Source organism: Homo sapiens, chromosome 1 (genome assembly GCF_000001405.40).
Source record: "Homo sapiens chromosome 1, GRCh38.p14 Primary Assembly".
NCBI classification, from domain to species: Eukaryota; Metazoa; Chordata; class Mammalia; order Primates; family Hominidae; genus Homo; species Homo sapiens.
Window position 1 is genome coordinate 198,711,247 of NC_000001.11, and position 23,381 is coordinate 198,734,627.

Here is a 23,381-nt window from a genome sequence, read left to right on the forward strand (position 1 = left end):
AACTATATCCTCAGCATAACTAGAAAATTTTAATGTATTTTTATTAGTACCACAATTATTACATTCTTTATAATCAATGCAACAAAATAGAAATCCCAGAAAACTATGTTTTATATTTGAAAACAGCACAAAATGTTTTCAGTGGGGGAAAAATAGTCTTTTCAACTAATGATCCTGGTATCTCTGTAGAAAAAAAATGAACATCAGCTCTCACCTCTCAACAAACACAAAAATTAATTCAAAATGGATTCCAGACCTAAATACTAAAGCTATAATTTAAAAAATTCTAATCAAAGACATAGGAGAAAATGTGTAGCTTTAGCAAAGATTTCCTAGGGCACAAAAGCAAGAAACATAAAACTTTTTTGATGAATTGGAGTGCATAAAAATTGAATATTCCTGCTCTTTGGATGAGGCCACTAAGGAAATAAAAAAGCAATAAATAGTTTGTAAAAAATCAAAATTAATTTTTTCAACAACAGAAGTTTTTCCAGAATATACAGAGAGCTCTTTCAGCTGCAAAATAAGGACTAAAACAGCTCAATTGAAAATGGACAAACATTTTTAATATATACTTCACAAAAGAGGATACACAGGTGGTTAATAAGCACATTAAATGATGCTCAGCATCATTAGTTAACTGAGAAATACAAATTAAAACAACACTGAGATGATAATACTATACATCCATTAAAATGGCTAAACTTAAGAATACGGATACTACTAACTATTGGTCAGGATGTGCAGCCATGACCCAGGAATTTCACTCCAGGTATTTACCAAAGAGGAAACATGACAAAGCAGATGCATTCATAGTAGCCAAAACCTGGAAACAGCCCAAATGTGTATTCACTGTTGAATCCTAGGTAAAATGTGGTGTATCTTTACAATAACTACTGATAATTTTTTAAAATTCTAACTATGACACATGCAACTAAGTGAATGAATCTTCAGAACATTACATTGAGTGCAATATGTTAGGAGTGAAAAAGTACTTACTGTTTGTTTCATTTTATTTACATGCAATGGGTAAAAAGACAAACTTAATCTGTAGTTAACAGAAAGTTGATCAGAAGGTACGTGAGTCTGGTCAAAGGAGCTGAGTTGACTGGGAAGTACCACAGAAGGACATTTTGGGATCACAGAAATTTTCTTTATCTTGATTGTGGTGTTGGTTATGTGGATGTATACATTTGTTAAAAATGCATTAAACTGTATCTCAAATGGGTACATTTTAATGTAAATTTTACTTCAGACATTTTATTTAAACATTTATCAGTTTTTCTCAGTTTCAAATGACTAGTTACTGGAAGCAATGACAAGTGCTACTCAATGACTGCTAAATTTATTGGTGCTATGAATGCCAGATTTTTAGCACAGCAAAATCTACAAATTCCAGGATTTTTAGGTAGTATCTGGGCAAGAATATATATGAATAATGTATATGAAAGGAAGAGGGGGTTCTTAGATATCTTCAAGTCAGTGGAATGCTTAGGTTTCACAGTGCCAATCTGGTGTGACATTTACTTTGTTAAAGGAATTTACTCTAAAACAAATTAAATGAGCCCAGATGCATTTCTTTAAATTTTATTTTGAATTCATCATTTGTCAAAATATGGTTATCAATAATGCATGCTTATAATATGAAGAATGCTTTATCCATGTCTTATTTTTCATATTACATAACATTCTTATTCTTTTAACAGGTCCAGGAGAGCCTCAGATTATTTTTTGTAGAAGTGAAGCTGCACATCAAGGAGTAATTACCTGGAATCCCCCTCAAAGATCATTTCATAATTTTACCCTCTGTTATATAAAAGAGACAGGTAATTTGTGTAGAATTTAATTTCATCAGAAAAGAGAAATCAAGAATTTGAAAGTACTAGAAATTTTTATTGAGCCAGTGAGTCACAAAGCTCTCTGCTTAGAGACTGCATAGGCATAGTATACTCCCTGATCTTAGAATTGCTTCCACTCATTCAAAGCTTTCCAGCCCCAGAAATGACTAAAATCCAGAACATTCTAAATATTTGCTTGTCCTTCTTGGTCTTAGTTTAAATCTTTGTGCTCCAAAGCCTAGAGACAGAAAACCTCTGGATGACAACACTCATTTCTGTCTTGCAAGTATTATGTAAGTGATTTGACTCACTTTGAACTCATCATTCAGCCTCCTAAACAAACCAACAAACAAGCAAACCCCTTGTAAAACTTGTTTCAGCTAATAATACAGACAAAATGTTGGGTGAATAAAAATGAACATGGGCCCATGTAGCCGCTGGGGCCAGTTTGGTGTAATCTTGGGAGCATAGTTCTAAGTTTAGAATTAGACTTCTGCAGAAGTAATGCAATTAAAAAAAAAAAGAAGAAGAAAGAAATGTGCTATGACTAGTTCACTCATGAAATGTTCAAATGAGATGCTATTTAAGAGAACAAATATCTTCTGGACAATTTAAAGTATCTAAATTGTTTGTAGAAAGTAACATCAGTGGAGTATCTCAGAGCAGCCTCAATGCCTGGGATAGCCCTTTCTCTATTCTTTTATCCATAGGTTAAAATAGGAATGAAGTGAACCTCATAGAATTCTGTCACTCTGTGCTGTGGGGAAGGAACCAGACATACACTTCAAAACTTGAAAAGTGAAAGGCTATTTTTCTTCATTATGTTATTTTATATTTTAATGGCCTTTTCTTGCTAGTGTCTTTAGGTCTTAATAATCAGACTACTAAAGCAAAGTTAAATATGCATGTAGTTTTCAAATTAACATTCAAAGGCCAAGGAAAATAAATATATACTATATATTTGAGGTTATGATAAATTTAAAAGTTAAGTCTATGTGGAAGGAAAAATGGAAATTCCAGGAAGATAAAACAGCAGAGGTACTGTCTGCCTCATTGGACACCTCTTTTACAAACACTTTGTGTAGCTTCTATGGGAACACATTGTTCATTTTTTTTTTCTCTTCTCTGAATCTTCTATTCACTATCCCTTTCTGCATTCCTCAATGTCTACACTCTCTCTACTAGAGAGTATTGTCGATGTCAGAGTATATGGTAGACATTTTATGCATTTATGGCTCTTTTATATTTTTACAGTTTTTTTAAACTGTATTTCCACTGTATTTGCATAATTAGGGTAAAAAGGATGTAATGAGTTAGTAGCAACTCATTACAGCAACTAGCATGGGTCCTTCTTATTGGGCAACTAAATAGTGTTACCCAAATTTAACAGCTGTCCACATAGAACACTTAAACGGGATTGAATGGCTGAGAAGGGGAGGCTAGCTATCAGGCTGTGTGTTTTCTTTTCTCCAAAGCTGCCGATTGGTGACTGAATGCAGCTTTGGACCATGCCCTGACACTGCATAAAGGGCTCTTTGGAGCCAGCTCTACTCTAAACAGCGTGCTCCGCTTTTGTTTTCTCCTTCATCTCAAACATATACCTGTCTCCTCTCCCATGTTACCTAAGGCAAAGAGAGTTGATAGGATTATAGTATCGTTAAGGCAACTTAACTTTTCTCACCATTTTAAATAAAATTACTATTAAAAATCCACAGGAAGAAAGTCTATGAAATTTGCAGTTTACTTTTTAATCAGATATTAAATTTCACTTCATTACTTCACAATTTAATTTTTTCAGTGTCTCTAAAAGAGAGGGATTAAAAGAGGAGAAAAAATGCAATTGACATTAATTTAGTTTTATTGGTTTAGCAGGTTTTTTTAATTATGTATTATTTAAAGATTTTATCAACTATTTTAATAACTCAGTGGAGATGTGCATACATATCTTCATAGTTCATATGATGAAACTGAGGTTAACAGAAAATGTGATAGATGTTCAAGTTCAGTAGCTTGATCTGTTTCCTTTCTGCTCTTGGTTTTGTTTGTTTGTTTGTTTGAGAGGGAGTCTCCCTCTGTCGCCCAGGCTGGAGTGCAGTCATGCGATCTCGGCTCACTGCAAGCTCCGCCTCCCAGGTTCACGCCATTCTCCCGCCTCAGCCTCCCTAGTAGCTGGGACTACAGGCGCCCGCCACCACGCCCGGCTAATTTTTTTGTATTTTTAGTAGAGACGGGGTTTCACTGTGTTAGCCAGGATAGTCTGGATCTCCTGATCTCGTGTGATCCGATCCGCCCGCCTCGGCCTCCCAAAGTGTGTTTGTTTATTTTTCCTCACATTTTTAGCTTAAGATATTTTGGAGAACTGCAGTTTTATCTCGTTAACTTAATGATGGCAAGTGACAGTGAAGCTTCTTGGTAATTGGGGAATTGGGGAAGAGATCTTTTGTGCTTTATTGGATTTAAAGGATTATTTTTCAAAAGTTACTGAAAGCAATAGGCACCTTTCAAGACCACCATGATGTTGCTGGAAATTATTTTGTGTAATGCCTTTTATTTTTTTAAGAAAAAAAAAACAGAACAAATTGCTTAATCTCTCTGTGGCTCAGTTTTGTCATCTGTAAAATCAGATGATAGTGAGTACCAACTAATAGTTGCAGTGATGGTTAAATTAATTATTTCATGTATACCCCTTGAAACAGTGCTTGGCACATACAGTGAGTTATTATTTTTAAAAATCGTTATTGATATTATTATTACTGTTGCTGCTATCCAGAAACATGTTGCCACTCTAATCATCCTCTTTCCTGATGTCACTTGGCTACTCAAAAATAGCAGCAGCTGGTGATTTTTTTACTTAACAAGTGCTAAGTCTTCTGCCTGAGTGTGAAAACACACTTAGACACTGTCCTACCTCTCATATGCCTCCCCAGCCAGAGCTGTTGTCCTGATCAGGTTTGTCACTAAACTCAAAAACATTCCTTCTTCCGTTTGTAATATTTTCTTTTCTCCCTTACATGTATTCAGTTCCACTTACCTTTCAATGAACAGCTGAATTCCACTTCCGGCATGAAACTCCCTCATTCTCACAGCTCCCGTTAATTACTGTAGTGTCCAAATTACTATGATAGAATCAACCCAATGACTGATGATCAAATGGATTCTGCATCTAACATTCAAAACAGTAGCTAATACCGATGTTCAAAGTTTGGAGGTTACATATCAGAAAAGGTTTTCTAAAAAAGAATCATTCTGAAACATGCAACTCAAGACTTACAGTATACACTGGGGGCTGTGTTTTCTCAGAAACAAAAGAGATCGTCTTCACAAATGAATCTGAACTTATTAAATATTTTATGTACCAAATTAATGATATAAAACCATAATTTTTCAATATTTAATTTTACCAATGATAATTGAGTTTGTTCAATACACTGGCTGATAATTGTAGGTACTTTTGAGTATCAAGGATGTACTTATTTTTCAATCACTCAATAGTTTGGAGTTCACTTGGAACAATGTGATGTAGAGACCAAATTAATTAGGTACGTGGTAGTACTGACTTTTAACGACTTACTAATTTTTTTTCACATTTTTCCTCAGAAAAAGATTGCCTCAATCTGGATAAAAACCTGATCAAATATGATTTGCAAAATTTAAAACCTTATACGAAATATGTTTTATCATTACATGCCTACATCATTGCAAAAGTGCAACGTAATGGAAGTGCTGCAATGTGTCATTTCACAACTAAAAGTGCTCGTAAGTTATATGTTTTAATGCTTCTTTCCATAAATGGTAAAAAGCAAGGTATGAACTTTTTAGCCTACAATATTTCTATCTTTATTCTAGCAAGCACATTTACCTGGCACATTTGTTAACATCTAGGGCTTATAAACACGTAAAATCTAAAAGTTTAAAAACCGTTATCCTGGATTCTCTCTCTTCTTCAGATATAGTCATAGAATTTTAAGGACAAAGCATAAAAGCATCTTAATTGGCATCAGTTTGTGCAATTTCATGCAGTTAAGTACTTAACCAACTTAGATTAAAACATTCACTGTTTGCTGTTGTCTTTACTATCTGGAAATATTAATTGTAATCAGAAACCTAACAATGTCTCATAAAGCATTAGCCTACTAACCTCTGTTCATCTGATAAAACATTTCATAAAATGTAATATTTTATTAGCATTTTCTTCTCTTCGTTACCCTCAACTACTTACTATTCTATTTTATGTCACATTATCCATTTAAGGTTTCCTTTCAATGGCATTTGGCTCTTGCCACTAGTATAATCTCTCCATAGTTTCCAGGCCCAAAGTTAGATCTGCTTCTGGGGCACATGTTAACCTCCATCGAGGACAGGGAAGAAGAAATGCCGTGTTTTAAGGCAGCATCTATAGCTCCAGAGACCCTAACGGGCACTAGACTTGTGAAGAAATATTGTGCTATTTGGGGCTGAATATAAGACACTTTTAAGGTCATTTAGGTTTTGGTTTGAAAAGTTCTGGTCCTGGAGCTCTATGCTTTTGTTGTTTTCCTGAGTTTCTGTATCACAGAAAAAGAAGACAATTTGTTTCTGTTCCTGAAGAACCCATCTAGGTGTTTACCAGGATAACATTAGCACTCCGGGAAAGAAGGGTCTAGATTGTGTAATAGGACTTGGAGGTTTCCCAATCAACAACATTTTTCCTCTCCTCTCCCCAAACTTCCCCCTCTTCCCCACTCCCTTCCCTTTTTCTCTATTCTCTAATTCTACACAGTCTCCTTCAGGGATTGCAATAACTCTCATGGCTTCATGTACAACCTATATGCTAATACTTACTGAATAAATGAGTGATTTATTCTTCAGGGTTTTGATATTGTTTTTTAATTTATGTACTATCATAACTTCCTTATTTATAACCCCCAAGCTAACACTTAAAATACTTTATACTATATCCAAGTATTGTCAAGTAATTTACATATGCATCTATTAAATTATTAATAACAAATCTTTCTTCATTTTGATAGCTCCAAGCCAGGTCTGGAACATGACTGTCTCCATGACATCAGATAATAGTATGCATGTCAAGTGTAGGCCTCCCAGGGACCGTAATGGCCCCCATGAACGTTACCATTTGGAAGTTGAAGCTGGAAATACTCTGGTTAGAAATGAGTCGCATAAGAATTGCGATTTCCGTGTAAAAGATCTTCAATATTCAACAGACTACACTTTTAAGGTAAAAGTATGCTCTCTACATTACTATAGTACCAACTACATTATAATGATTGATTCATAGTACTTAAATAACTTTAAGACCACTGCTCACATGAGATTGAGAAGCTCTGATGTGTAATGGAATCACACTTAAAGAGTCTCAAATATTTGACTCTAAAATTTTTATTCCTATAGCTCAAGTCAGTGGTTTAAAGCAAATGTTTCATTGGAATATTTTAGAACTTCAATATGACTTAATTATAGCTAAATTATTGCTTCTGTGTTAAGAAGCACAACACTTTATGCACAACAGATTATTACTTTACCAAATCTACCTTTTCTTTACTTTGGCTTTTTATCTTTATTAATGTGGAATTTTTCAATTGCAAAATTTCACAGGTACCTTGAGGTTAGGAAATATTTGAAATAAACACTAGACAATACTAGTGAGCATACAGAATTTAAAACACTCATTATCTCACTGTCTACTGATCGTATTTTGTACATGTAACTTCATAATATACACATTTATATGCACTTAACACGTATTATCAACATTCTGAGTACACAGTTTTCAAAATACAGTTTTAAAACTGTATTTTTAATATATCACTATATCACACACACCTTTCTATGTTAAATATTTAACTACTATGTAGTTTTTAATGCCTGTATAATATTCTATGTATGGCTTTATCACATTCTATTAACTATAACTATGTTGGTCTCTAATATAAACAACATTCCGATAACACACTTATTGGTAAAGCAAAATTTTTGAATGTCTTTAATAATTTATGTTTCATAAATTCCTAAAAATGCATTTATTGGGTCAAAATGTATTTTGAGGCTTTTTGGATATGTAACTTTTTTTTTCTATAAAATTTACCAAATTGCCCTGGTGTATCAGTGTATGAAATGACTGCTTCTTGAGAGGCTCACCAACACTGAATACGCCTTTCTTTTTCTTTATTTGGTGGTTGAAATATGGTATTGATATCTTTCTTTTAATGAAGTTTCTTTACTTATTGTTCTTTGTGTTATTCTTTGCCTCTTTTATCCAGTTTTCTCCGGAGAAATGCCTTGAATATTAATGATATTAAACTCTTTGTCACATGCGTAAAAATGTTATCAGTTTATAATTTGCCTTTTAGTTTTCTTCACAGCACTTTGTCTTACATAATTCCCCTTTTTATTTTTAAACAAATGTATCTGTCACTTTTATTCCTGTTAAATAGAAATTTCCATAGTTAATTTTTTAATATGATGTTGACAAACGGCCTCATATTCTTTTTTTGTTTTGTTTTGTTTTGTTTTGTTTGTTTGTTTTGTTGTTGTTTTTTGTTTTGAGAGGGAGTCCTGCTCTGTCACCCAGGCTGGAGTGTGGTGGCGTGATCTCGGCTCACTGCAACCTCCGCCTCCCGGGTTCAAATGATTCTCCTGCCTCAGCCTCCTGAGTAGCTGGGATTACAGGCACCTGCCACCACACCTGGCAAATTTTTGTATTTTCAGTAGAGATAGGTTTTCACCATGTTGGCCAGGCTGGTCTGGAACTCCTGACCTCAAGTAATCCGCCTGCCTCAGCCTCCCAAATTGTTGGGATTACAGGTGTGAGCCACCGTGCCCGGCCCATATTCTTTATCACTTAAAGAAGTGTTTTCATATTTATAAACTTTTTGATTTTGTTTTTGAACTGGAAATGTCGGTTGGATTTTATCGATTTTTAGGGCATTATGATAGATGATGCCATAGTTGTGATGCCCTGGTGTGATTAGTTTAAATGATGCAAAACCATTGTCACATTCTAAGAGAAAAACCCCTGCTCTGTCATTGTGTGTTATTCTCTCAGAGTATTATTGAAATCAACAGCCTATTATTGTCTTTATTAGTAGATATTCAAAAAGGAGATCATTCAGTGAGTAGAGACGGTGTTGGCATAGGCGTTGGATGACATCATTCTTATTAAATTTGGTATAAAGGTTACACTGATCTGATAAAACACATTGCTTATATGTTCCTGTTTTTCTGTATCATATAACTTTTTAAAAAAATTTTATTATTATTTTTTGAGAAAGAGTCTCGCTTTGTCACCCAGGCTGGAGTGAAGTGGCGTGATCTCGGCTCCTGCAACCTCCGCCTCCCAGGTTCAAGCGATTCTCCTGCCTCAGCCTCCCAAGAAGCTGGGATTACAGGCATGCACCACCATGCCTGGCTAATTTTTGTATTTTTAGTAGAGACGGGGGTTCACCATGTTGGCCAGGCTGGCCTAGAACTCCTGATCTCAAGTGATCTGCCCACCTTACCTCCCAAAGTGCTGGGATTACAGGCGTGAGCTACTGTGCCAGGCCTATATTATATAACTTTAAATAGTATAGGAGTGATTTGTTCCTGAAAAATTTGTCTTCATTCCTTTCATGCAGAGAAATTCTTTAAGACTCATTTATATCTTCTTTCAATAGGATTAGTCTTTTCAGATATTTTACTCTTTTTGAGTGAGTGTGCTATATATATTTTTTCAAAGAATAGTCAACCTAAAAGAAATATTTTCTTATTGTCACATCATTGTGTATTATACTTCATTCCCCACTGCTTCTCCAGTGCCCATTAAGCTCCAGGTGCACTGGTTTCTCTATAATTTCTCAGAGGCACCTAGGTGTTACTCTTTTTAGCCACCTCCCTCCACGCTCTTCCCACTTCCTAGAATATGCCTCTCCCACTCTTCAAATCGTATAAGTTACTATGGAAAAATATAGGTGTACATCATATTAAAATACAACCTTAACGTTCAAAGTAGGAGATAATTATTCAGTTTCGAATTCTCTTCCCCCAATCTTCAAAAGATGGTTTTTGTTTTCTTTATTATACTTGCCATACCTTCTTATTATGCTTATTTCTGTCTCCACTATCATGTTTTGTGTTCACTCCTTCATGAGAGAGCAGTCATTTCAGCTTTTTCACCATTGTGATCTCTGGTTAATAAATTAATGAAGTTGATTTATTAGTATTACTTTTCCATAGATTTATTTTGATGCTCTTCAGGTGGCTTTCGGATTAAAAGTGTTTTCTTCCTTGTAATTTTTTTTCATTTTTATAAACTAAAGGGAAAAAAAAGGCTATGGATTGTACTTTGGTAAAATTTTGACTGTAACCCATGTCTATATCGTTTGTCACTAATTTCTGAAGGCCTTCACATGAAATGTAATCAATGATTCTTAAAGTAAAACATTTTGATTATTGATGATTTCTAATGAGTCTGTAGTTATAATTTGGAAGAGTTTTTAATATATCCATTATTTAAGAGAGTTTTTCTACATTTCTGGTGCTTTAATTTCTTATTGCTACTAATTATTAGCTGATAAAAGTTAATTGGCTTTTACAATTTCTGCCTTTTAGGATTTGTAGAATAATTTTTACAGCTCTATGTGTGATATTTATGAATATTCTGTGAATATTGGGTAAATTATATATTCTCCATAGGATAAAAGCTTAGATATATATTTGTCAGATTTATTATATTTATTATTATTCTCTTTTAATGATATTATTCAAATATATTTTACTTAAATTTTTTTGGTCAAGGATTCTTACTGCTCTTTTGCTCTTTTCATTTTCCCTGTATATGTAAATTGTTTTCACTTCATTTGTATTACATTTTATGAGACACAGGTGTTTATGCATTATGCCTATATAGTAAATTTTACTATATATCCATTTGCCCTTAAAAAAATGTATGTGCATTTTATGCATAATTCTAGTAAACAGCTTATGGTTGAATTTCCTTTTTTAATTAAATATTAGCCTATTAATAGGGAATTTTAACTTTATGAATATTTTGATGTATTGGATTTTATTTCTTCATCCAGTTTCATTATTTTAAATAATTATTTAATAATTGTTTAATAACTATAAATATTTTTATTGCTAAGTGAGATAAGATATCTTTTTGATTGTCTTTTCAAATATATTTGACAACATACTGACATAACCTTGAAGTTTAAAGCAAATCAGCATACTTTTATTGTATGCATGGTATGAAAGATAATATAAATGTTTTACATTGTGATATATAATATATATATATATATAAATTCACATTAGCAAACTAATTATTTTATTTTTTGTTACTGAAATTCAGGCCTATTTTCACAATGGAGACTATCCTGGAGAACCCTTTATTTTACATCATTCAACATCTTGTAAGTTATCACTGGGCTATTTATTATATATATTAAGATATATATTAATGCTTATAAAGCTATATTATTTTACACTTATAATCACATTTGATTGTTAAATGCTTAAATAATATCTCTTCCGTAAATGTAATATTTTTAATTGTCAGTAAAACCATACATATATATGTAAATATATTTAAATACAATATCTTAAATTCAAGTTAGGAGATTCAATTATTAAAGGTTTGTTGAATTCATAAGAGGATTTATATACCCAAACTATTAAATTATGTTTATGTTTATGAAATATCGTCATGTTAGTAACATTTTTCGTGTACTATTTTAGATTATCTATTTTATTCTGTCTCTTCAGCATATGTTTAGCAGAAGTGGGCCTTAGATACAAGTCTGTCTTGATTTACTTAATGGAAGCTAATATAAGCACTCCCTAATAACAATATACTTATGTAAATATTTATCACTGATATTTAAAATATTTTCATCAAAGTAAAGGTGTACATGAAAAATTACTTAGAATTAAATTTCATTATAATAATGAAAATAACAGCTGCATGTTACATTCCCCACCCACAATTCTGTTTGCCAGGCAACCACTTTTAACCATTTCTATTTTTGGGTCTCCTTATAGTTTCCTTCATATATATATATATATATATAAACAATATTGTATACTGCTCTTTCTAGAGTTACTAACATTACCAATTGATCTGAGCCTATGGAGGAAGGAGACCTAGTACTCTACTTTGGGCTTTCTCTACTGGTTAACATTGTAAATAGAATTATTTAAGCCTGTATGTACTTTGTTGTCAGCAACTTCTAGGTCTTTCTATCTTTGCCACTTCTAGTTCTTCCTCTCTTACATATGTTACATATGCACATATGCATGTGCACAATCACTGGTATGAATGCAAAGTCAAAAGAGAAAATATAAAAACAGCTTATTTTCCAAACTGCTTTACTAAGCCCTCTGCAAAGTTTTAGTTCTTTCTGCTCAGATTTATGAAATAAAAACTCCCTGTGTTAAATGTCAAAAAAGTCCAGCAAGATAGCTTTGATTTTATTTCCACATTACCTTTTTCTTTTATAATATCTTTATAATAAAAATGACTTCATTGACTCTTTCCTATTAAATTGTAAATAATTTATAGCAGTCATAGACTCAGCTGAACATTCACACTCACATCTTAATAGGCCAGATCTGAAACATTTCACCTGGAAAGACACAGAACAAAAAGCACAGCATGCTAGCAAGGGAGCCTGGCAGTGGGAATCCTTGCAGCGGGAATCCTTGCAGCAGTGCACACAGCAATCCAGCTACTTTTCTTATGACACTCTCAAAGACAACTGAGATATGAGAGAATGAGACCACATGTGTAGGTGTAGGAGCTGCATTCCAAAAGGAATCAGTATCTCTTATACTATTTCCATGGGCATAGCTTCCAGACATGCCAACAGGGGTGTGCTCAGTTATGAGCGGGCACTGCACTCAGGGAAACCCAAAGCTGGTACTTCCCATGAGGACAATAGAGTTCACATATAGCACTCCCTGTTCAGGTGTAGTTTAGCAATCAAGGGTCATTTTGCCATTAGCAATGTTGTCTGGTAACCAGCTAATATTCCACTTTTATCAGGTTTCCAGGTCAACGGAGCCAAAAAATTAGCCCTCATCTTTTTCCACAAAGGAGACAACATTGTATTCACTCTCTGCTCACAATATCATTATCCTAAGAGATAAATAATATAGTTTCTTTTAAAATAGTGATATCTGTTCCAGGAAAGGACTTGGGCTGTGAATTGCTAGGGTACAGCTACTAGGGATGTGTTGTTGGGTTTCCCCGGCATAATATTCCACCACCTGTACTTTGACATCATTGTCAATTGAACTCCTGGGGACCCTTTCTTCTTGCTCTGATCTGGACTCTCACATGCCATCTTGAAATATTCCCCCATCAGTTTTCTGGTTTAGATTTGCTGTATCACACATAGTTATTTTTTTTTCTGTCTGAGTTCACTGATATATGTTCTCTAGTGTAAGAAAAATAATTCTAATTCTCCCATACAAAAAAAATTTTTATTCTGCTCTGGCACTTGTTCAGTGTATCGACTTGGTATAAAATTCTAAGTTAAAAATTTTAGAATTTAAAAATTATTTCTGTCTTATTTTCCTGAATCCAATTTTACTTTCTAATTCCATCCTGATTCTCTCTCTCTCTCTCTCTCTCTCTCTTTTTTTGGTCTGTTCCCAAGTTTTCCTCCCCTGGAAATGCTAGGTTTCTGTCTTTATTCTTGGTCTTACCTGAATTTTTTGTTTGTTTTGTTTTGTTTGTTTTTGTTTTTGTTTTTAGAGGGAGTTTCGCTCTTGTTGCCCAGGCTGGAGTGCAGTGGCATAATCTCGGCTCACTGCAACTTCTGCCTCCTGGGTTCAAGTGATTCTCCTGCTTCAGCTTCCTGAGTAGCTGGGATTACAGGCAGGCACCACCACACCTGGCTAATTTTTGTATTTTTAGTAGAGAAGGGATTTCACCATGTTGGTTAGGCTAGTCTTGAACTCTTGATCTCAAATGATCCACCTGCCTTGGCCTCCCAAAGTGCTGGGATTACAGGTGTGATCCACTGTGCCTGGCCCTGAATCTTTTTCATTCATTTTTTCTGGATGCTATTGACCTTTGTAACCTGAAGATTTATATATCTGAGAATTCTTTGCTCCATTTTCTTCCCATAGTCTTTGGTTGAGTCTATTAGTCATAAAACTCATAAGTTGACTTATTATTTTGGCATTCCCCTTTGGTGTTGATGTTTTCCTTAAAAGCTTGGTTCTTATTGGTAGTCTAGTCATAGTCACAGTGAGACAACAGGAAAGGTTGATTAGATGTTCTGTGGTCCTTAGAAGATCTTGGTGACTGAGGAGATTTCCTATGATATTGCTGATTTATTTTTTTCTGATATCATTCATTATCACCAAAAACTAATTAATCCCCAGAAATTAATCTCCAGAATTACCCTACTCCTTGTTGTGTGGTAAAGTGTGAAAAAGTGGTTCTTCTCACAGTAGGACAGGAAGATAGGTGTCCAACTATTGCATATGTGGACAATTACATTGTCCTCCTAATTTTAGTCCTGTGCCTCATCCCTTCCCTGTACTGAGCCTGACTTTATTCTCAGTCTCTCACTGCTTTCATTTAATTTTCCTTTTGTCTTCTCCTCCCTGGTAGTATTTTTTCAAGAAGATATTTTTTGTTATTGTTGTTGTTGTTGTTATTGTTTTTGTAAATAGACATTTGACTTCCATGTTCTGACCCATGATTCACATTTACTGCATATGTCACTTTCAAACCTGAGACTCAGGCATTCTGAGTAAATGGAATCTATTCCTTTGATTTAGGCTGTGGCCTCCTTTCTTTTGTTTTCTACCTTCTACAACTTGTTGAAATTGCTCTACTTCTAATTTCCCTTCTCTCATTTTCACTGTCATTATAAATCTATGGCATTTTCAGTTTTTTAATATTAGCAGGGTTCCTGGAAAGAAGGGGGAAACACATGTGTGCTTAGAATGCAAGCTTTATCTGAAGACTTGGCTATTTTATTAAGTTTGTTGAGAAAAGTCTGATGCTGCTTAATATTTTTGTAGAACTTAATCTAATTATTATGGATTGGAATGCTAACTTACAGTCATTTGCAGTTTCTTGCAAAATCTTACTTCAGAGTATTCTAGAAGTTAGATGTTGCCTCTGATGAGGTTTTTATTCACAAAATCTGGAAACAATCATGCTGATTGATATATGTATACTAGTAATCACTGGTATGGATTGACAATTTCAGTGAAAGGAATTTCAGATAGAGATAAGACAAGGAACACTTTGGGTCATTTTAGGAGCCTATTGCAATAAGAACTTCTTCCCTAAAAATGTTCACTGCAATCCACCTATATATTCACATTCATGTATCCCATCCATTTTTATATATGCCGGCAGTATAAATACCCCTTTAAAGGAGATAAAATTATTTCTATTTTATATATGAGGAAACTCAAGTTTGGATAATTTAATCTATTTGCCCTATGAGTCAAAGAAATGACAGAGCCTGAATTCAAGCTCAGGTCTTACAGTCTGTATCTGAAATTACTTTCAATATTCCTGTTTGTATGAGTTTCCAGTTACAGAAATTTTGATCATGAGATGAACTGTTTCTGGCAGCTGTTTGCTTGATAGAGTCATTTCCTTCTTTCCAGTTGTAGAAAAACTGTCTCATGCTCAAGGCCTCCACTTGCCATACAGAAAATACATCCCCTCTACTTCCTTATCACCCTACTTATTTTTTTCAGAGTATATGAAAAAATGCATAATTATTTCATTTGTTCACTTACCTTTCTTTTTTCTTTTCTTTTCTTTCCTTTTTTTTTTTTTCTTGACAGAGTCTTGCTCTGTCGTCCAGGTTGGAGTACAGTGGTGCAATCTTGGCTCACTGCAACCTCTGCCTCCTCGGTTCAAGTGATTCTCATCCCTTAGCCTCCCAAGTAGTTGGCATTACAGACACACACCATGCCTGGCTAATTTTTTGTATATTTAGTAGAGATGAGGTTTCACCATGTTGGCCAGGCTGCTCTCAAACTCCTGGCCTCAAGTGATCCACACGCCTCGGCCTCCCAAAGTGCTGGGGTTACAGGGGTAAGCCACTGCGCCTGTCTGTTCAGTTACCTTTCTAGTGTCTGTTTCCCCCAAAGAGAATGCAAATTTCCTGAAAACTAATATTATCTCTGCCTTATATTCTATAGCATTTCCACGGACTGTCTTCCTTTTTATCTTCACAGCCCTTATATCTTCTCACCTACATGACCATTTACTTATTTCTTCTGTTCATTATTAATTATCTATTTTTCTTCACTAGAGAGTAAGTTCCATGAGGACAGGACCCTTGTTTTTCTTTATGTAGATATCCTAAGTACCTAGAGCTGAGTTTGGCAGATGACCAAAAGCCAAAAATATTTTTTTTGTGAATAGTGAATAATTAGTACTTACTACTTCCCAGCCACCGTGCTACGTGTTTACTGTGAATCAACACCTTTAGCCACATTTTAGGATTTTGGGAAAGGAGGGACAAAGATAATAAGGAATCTGGCCAAGTTCCCAACTAAGAAGTGGTAGAGCTAGGATTGGAAGCTAAGCAGTCGGGCTCTGGAGCTGAGGCTCTTAAGTCACCGCATTATTTTGCTGCATTTTCACTACATAAGAAAAGGTGAATATACTGGAGATATTTCCAACACACCCTCTCTTCTATGCCCTTTCCCTAGGAAAGGGCAGGATTTCACATTAAACTTAGTGAATATTTAAGTCAGGGTAAGTCTTATCCTAACTATAGAATGAAACCATTTTTGTCTCTTAGTGAATGGATTTTACACCTCAGTGAACAGGTAAGAGGGTTTATCTTTGTGAAGTAGAAGTCTTTCTCATCCCCTTAAGAGGCTACCCACTTCTGCATATAAAGTTAAACTATATGAGTTTGTCTCCAAAATTTATAATAACTGGATTACCTCCTTGATCCCTTCAAAATGAAGTGTCTGATAAAAAAAGAGAATTAAATTTAAATGTGTCTTATGAAAGAACATTATTTAATCAAAAGAAAGATAATTATTCTTCTATTCTTACTCTCCTTAAATATAAAATGTTTTCATTGGTTCAGAACAATATAGCCAAAATCACAGAATTAGAAATTTATTGTATTTGACCTTATTCTAAAATGTTTATTTTTTAAAACCTCACAATAAATTTAAAAATATTAAAATATAAATACTTTGGAGGTGATTATTCAACCAGTCTAGCAAGTTATTTGACAATCGTTCTCTGAATGTATTATTTTTCATTTCTAGATAATTCTAAGGCACTGATAGCATTTCTGGCATTTCTGATTATTGTGACATCAATAGCCCTGCTTGTTGTTCTCTACAAAATCTATGATCTACATAAGAAAAGATCCTGGTAAGAGTTGATTTTAAATTTTTAAATAATAATGGTATTAGTAATGGTGCAAACGCATATCCATATGGCAGTGATGGAACCAGTTAAATGAAATATGTGAACTAGAGAGAAGACAGCATACAGCCCACTTCATGACACAACTTTTAATCAAAAACTTTTAGTATGGTTTTATTGGTTTGAATTAAACATTAATATTATTTTCTAAATTTACTAATAATGTTGTGGACTTGTTTAATAATAACCAGTGAAAAGAATGTGTGTGGTTTTTAGTACAAAGTGGGTCAGAGGGATCTAGGAGTGTCAAAAGAAAAAGAAAGGAGGGAGATGTCTGGGGAAGTTAATGTGTTTCTTTGGTCAGAAACAACCACATCTTATGAAAAACAGAAGATTTAAAATAAAATCATTTAGCTACTTATGTGAGTTTAGCAGACAATTCTTGGTTGTTTTCTTTCCTCCCTCACCCTCCTCTCTCCTCTCTGACTCTGCTTTCTCCCATCCTTCTGTCCTCCCTCTGCTCAAGGCTCTTCCTCCCTTCCCTCCTTTCCTCTTCTCCTCTCCTCTCTTCCCCTTTTCTTATCCCTGACTTCCTTCCTTTGTTCCTTCAATATATTCATTAAATATAAGTAAAATACCAATTGAATTTTGTGCTTCTTGAGAATATAGAAACTTATTTTTCCTATTTTCACAGCAATTTAGATGAACAGCAGGAGCTTGTTGAAAGGGGTAAGTATGTATATTTTTGCTGATGACTATTCCTTCCCCTGCATTTGAATCCATTCATTTTATTTATTTATTTATTTATATTTATTTTAAGACAGAGTCTCATTCTGTCTCCCAGGCTGAAGTGTGGTGGTGCAATCTCTGCTTATTGCAGCCTCCGCCTCCCTGTTGAAGCAATTCTCATGTGCCTCAGCTTCCCAAGTATCTGGGATTACAGACACACATCACCAGGCCCAGCTAATTTTTGTATTTTTAGTAGAGATGGGATATCACCATGCTGCCCAAGCTGGTCTTGAACTGCTGGTCTCAAGTAATCCACCCACCTTGGCCTCCCAAAGTGCTGGGATTATAGGCATGAACCATTGCGCCCGTCCCCATTCATTTTAAATAAGAATTGGGCATTTTTAGTTTAACTTGGACTTTTGTTGATACAGTGATAAAACTTAAATTCCTTTACTCACTCAGCACCTGTGAAGTTCCCAGTGTACGCCAAGCATTGTGCCAGGTACTGAGAGTACTACAGTGACAGGCACAGACTCTGCCCTTAAAGGGTTTAGAATCTAATAGAGGAAAGCAGATATCTCAACAAATATGACGGTAATTTGATACATGCCCTAGTAGTTGAATGTGTATAGTTCTATAGATATATGGAAGATAGAAAACTGTGTGCAAGGGCAGAAATCTGGTCTGTTAAGATTGTGGGGAACCAATGGACAAATGAGGGAGTGGTGGAGGGACGAGTGGATGGAAGTCACAGAGATGGGGAGATGGGATGTCTCCTCAAGTCCCTGCCAGGGTGGAATGGTGGCTGCTCCCACTAAAGACACATTTATGGATTGGACAAAGAACAGCAATTTGACTTGGGAGAAGAAAACACATTTGTTTATCTTTTTTTTCAACATTTATATTCTTTAATTTTTTAAAAATGTGATTTCTGATCCAGTAAAAGGGGACAAAGTTTCAGAAATTGAACCTTTGTTTACAATAAAGAAATGTACTTGCTTTCTCATGCTTAAGACAGGAATAATTTCAGAACTCCTTTGTCTGTGTTAATCTGTGTTGGAAGTGTTTCCCTCTGGTAATAGCAGGTACCAGGTCTCTATGCAGAAACTTTAGGGCTGAATCTTTGGAGCTCCTTAAAAGGCTTTATTTTTCTTTGCAGAATGTAACACTATCTGATCCCTTATTACATATTTATTCATTTGGTCATTGACTATCCTCTCCTAACTAGAATGTAAGCTTTGTGAAAGCGTGGAGGCTTTTTTCTTATTCACTGCTTTATGCCCAGTACCAAAGTGAGTACCTAGGATTTGATAAATATTAGTGAATAAATAACACTGACATAGGGTATCGTGAGGATTCATTTTGATAGGCTGAGGGAGGAATGAAGAGTACAATCAGTAATAAACACCTGAGCAGAACAGGAAAATCCATCTCAAGGAGTTAAGGTGGACTTGGAAAGTGTCAATGAAATATTTTATCTCAAAATTGGTACCGATTGCACCTTGGAACGCAGTAGAATTTACTCACTCAGACCCCATGAAACCCTGAATGTGGCCCTCAGTTCAGAATGAATGAATACCAGGCATTCCCAACAACCTAAAGAAACAATTGCACATAGCCAGTTTGAGAGCTGTGATTGTATAGAAAGTTTCCATGGGCAATAAGATAAATGGGTCACCCTCATGGATAACTTCTTTCTTTATCTGATAAACTGGTAAAATTAATATGATTACTGAAAGAAACACTATCAGTAGTACATGGAAGAGTAGGAGAAACATAATTTTACATATGCGACAGCTTAAATTCTCTTACCTTTCTAAAGCTGTTGGTTTTCAAGTTCCATATGCAATTGTAGCTTTTTATGGTTAGTATACTTTTTAATCTTCAGTAAGTTATTTCACAAACATGGTATATAATGTGTTTCATATACTTGAAGCATAACAAATTAATACAACTTGTTTCACCATTTAGTGTAAACAGATGATCAAATTAAGCTGAGTCATGGGTATAAGGGTATTAATCATATTGTCTTATTTCATTTGCATGTTTACAGTATTTCACAAGTTGAAAATGAAAATACAAAGAAAAATAATATTGTATTATAAATAAATAATTATAGTAATTGCTATAAAATGCATATAGTCAAACGTGAATGTCCTTATAATGGTGATGTTTGGTCTGGGATCCCTTCTCTTAAGCATAGAAAATGGGGAAGAACATTCTAGTAGAGAGAACAATATAAAGCCCAGAAGAGATCTGAAGTACAAGATTGAAAAGTCATTGATTTATAGGTAAATGTTTGTATGTGAGTGAGATTTCTCAGATGAAATGTGTACGAGGAGGAAAGAAGCTAAAGGATTGAGTACACGGTGTAAATTTAATGAAATGTGTATGCCCACCTGAAAGACACATGTAACTAGTATTGAATCTTTAATATGTTTCCAGATGATGAAAAACAACTGATGAATGTGGAGCCAATCCATGCAGATATTTTGTTGGAAACTTATAAGAGGAAGATTGCTGATGAAGGAAGACTTTTTCTGGCTGAATTTCAGGTGTGTGTTGCTTTTGTTATATGATGATAAATTCGACATCAAGACAGTTCCACTTTAAGTGTATTTATATTGCCATTTGCCTTTATAATTTATCCCACTTGATATTGCAACATAAGCAAAGTAGATATTATTAGCAGATCTCTATGAACCAGAAGAGAGACTCATAGAGGTTGACGGGATTATAGTGTAGAGCTAGTAAATATTTTAATGTAGTGCTTTATTGTATTATGAAGTTGTGTCACAAAATGTATTTGGCTGATTTTGTAGTTGTACTCTAGATACTCATCCAAGTATCTGTTTTTAAATGAATTTGATAGTGACACAACAACTAATCCTAAATTTGTCCCCACTCAAGAGATTTGTTCTGAAAGTTGTCAATCATTAATTTGTAAGAAAAAAGTTTTTTTTTTAACATAATTCCTGATCTTAATTTTGATTACTCTAAGCAAATTTTTTTATCAATATGAAGAAAATATTTTACAGGATATCTCATTTACTCAAAACGGTCATTGGTAAGGGGGAAATTATTTTTCCTGAATCTGCTGTGATCCAAGAAATCGTTGTTTCTTTCAGAGCATCCCGCGGGTGTTCAGCAAGTTTCCTATAAAGGAAGCTCGAAAGCCCTTTAACCAGAATAAAAACCGTTATGTTGACATTCTTCCTTGTGAGTATTTATTGAGTGCTGAATTCCCATATATTAGGCTACTTGATTATTCACTATTTCACTTGTTTATTTTTCTTTTCCTTAAACAGATGATTATAACCGTGTTGAACTCTCTGAGATAAACGGAGATGCAGGGTCAAACTACATAAATGCCAGCTATATTGATGTGAGTAAAAATTTGCATTTTTCTTATACCTACATATTTCATTCAGCTCCTTGTTTGTCTTGGTAAAATTTTAGAAATATTATTAAAAATATTTTGAAGTGAGCCCATATGTCACTGATATAAACAAAAAATTATCAATATTAGCAAGGATAGTTATTTATTATGTGACTATTGGTATTAGGTATAACATAGAATTTTCCTCTACAAACAAAATTATATTAAGAATTAATTTAATATACTCTGGTGTCTATTATGTGCTAGATATTAGACTAAATATTCTATGCATATATTTCTCACAAGAAGTCCACATTTGCCTCAGCCATGTGCCGTATAGGTGAGGACTGGGAGGCTCAGTTTAGTTAATTACCTTGTTGTTGTTCACACAATTGGTAAATATTTGAGTTGAAATTCAACCAGAGTCTGACTGACTCCAAAATGTTATGCTTTAATTTCATCACACTAAATTTCAGCAGACATTCCTCATCAACATGATCATCTATCCATTGGATTTATGCAGAAATGTAAATGTCCGTACGTGGTTAATTTATTTAAAATATTTTAAAATTTAATTTATTATACAAATGTTAATTAATGTATTACATAGGTTAAATAATTTTAAACAGTATAAAAATATATACAGACTGAAAAAATTCTTTTTGTCTCCCCAAATCTGCCATTTTCCCAGTGTCCTCACCTACCAGAAATAACTATATTTTCTATTCAAATATATATGGTAATTATGGTATCAGGTTACTTATGTTTCCCCAATGGAACTTAGAGCTCCCTGAAAGCATGTGTCTTCTGCTTTTAGATAGGTGATTGACATATTGTAGCTATTCAATAAATACTTATTAAATAAATGAATGTATGCGCAATAATGTGTCATGAGATAGAAGTTTCAGGAAGTTACTTAAATTAATGTTGAATTCTTGTGACCCATGTTTCAAATTTAATCCAATGGCAAAGGTCATCCCTCTCTGAAGAGCTCCTTTAGTTACTGAGGTGAATTTAGGAGTCTGAGATAATTCTGGAAGAAGCCAGTATAATATTTTATCTGCCTCTGTACTCCTTTATCTTGGTAACAGGAGCAGAGAAAGCAGACATAGTAGGTAATGAAATGAAAGTTATTATATCTCTTATCTGAAATGGCAAAGAAGTCTAGGGAATCATATTCCAGCAGAAGTTAAGAGGTGAAAATGCGGGTAAAATCTAAGAATGATTTGTTTAAAGAAATTGAGTAAAAATCCCAAAAGTAACTACATGGCTGGTGAGCTTGTTTAAATAGTGGTAGATGATCCTATAAGAGTTGGCAGGATATAAAATGTTGAAATGTCTAGAGCACTCTTGTAAATTACCACAGCATCGCAGATGAAGATGAAACCTAGTATTAAAATTGTTTGAAGTTTACAGCAAAGATACATGAAAGTCATGAATATTCTTTGCAAATGCTAACATGTTTAGCACAATTAAATGCCTGACCACCAATTAATAAGATTCCCTTAATACTTTGAAACTGCCCAGAGAAATTCACAATCACAAAATGATGGATCTGAAGCAATTCCTCTAACTCACAATTTTTCCTGTTAATGAGTAATTGAATGTTCAGCAAATGACATATCTCTGCATGTGTTTTCAATAGGGTTTCAAAGAACCCAGGAAATACATTGCTGCACAAGGTAATTTCTTTGATAATCCAATATTCTTTTTGAAAAATTTTTATAGCACTTTTAAGAAAATTTTTCTTATCAGCTTTTATTTGTTTACCTCCTAGGTCCCAGGGATGAAACTGTTGATGATTTCTGGAGGATGATTTGGGAACAGAAAGCCACAGTTATTGTCATGGTCACTCGATGTGAAGAAGGAAACAGGGTAAGAACCAAGAAGATTCATAGTGTGGGTCTTGGGGTTAGGAAAACAAGGTGTTGAATGGCATTTTGAAAAGCCACATGTATCTGCCTGATGACTAAAACAGAGAGTTCTCTATTTTAATCAGTGTTAACATTTAATTTAAAATTTTCATACATGTAGAAAACTAAAACTTTTAACATACAAATATATGTCTATATGCATA

At 34.2% G+C, this 23,381-nt stretch overlaps 1 protein-coding gene across 11 annotated transcripts in view; it reads left to right on the forward strand.

Moving 5' to 3' along the window:
- The window catches only part of PTPRC (protein tyrosine phosphatase receptor type C), a 118,764-nt gene that overhangs the window by 72,534 nt on the left and 22,849 nt on the right, over positions 1 to 23,381 (forward strand). For 9 of the 11 annotated variants that reach the window (XM_047426381.1, XM_047426398.1, XM_047426409.1 and 6 more), the window contains 11 exons: positions 1,707 to 1,826; positions 5,436 to 5,594; positions 6,848 to 7,056; positions 11,170 to 11,230; positions 17,094 to 17,202; positions 17,891 to 17,925; positions 20,371 to 20,480; positions 21,054 to 21,144; positions 21,234 to 21,310; positions 22,950 to 22,986; positions 23,082 to 23,179. In XM_047426381.1, coding sequence (XP_047282337.1) covers positions 1,707 to 1,826; positions 5,436 to 5,594; positions 6,848 to 7,056; positions 11,170 to 11,230; positions 17,094 to 17,202; positions 17,891 to 17,925; positions 20,371 to 20,480; positions 21,054 to 21,144; positions 21,234 to 21,310; positions 22,950 to 22,986; positions 23,082 to 23,179 — 1,106 coding nt within the window. Of the gene's footprint in view, positions 1 to 1,706; positions 1,827 to 5,435; positions 5,595 to 6,847; positions 7,057 to 11,169; positions 11,231 to 17,093; positions 17,203 to 17,890; positions 17,926 to 18,444; positions 18,520 to 20,032; positions 20,217 to 20,370; positions 20,481 to 21,053; positions 21,145 to 21,233; positions 21,311 to 22,949; positions 22,987 to 23,081; positions 23,180 to 23,381 lie in introns of those variants that run through there. The other 2 variants (XM_047426420.1, XM_047426417.1) reach the window with 2 other exon arrangements.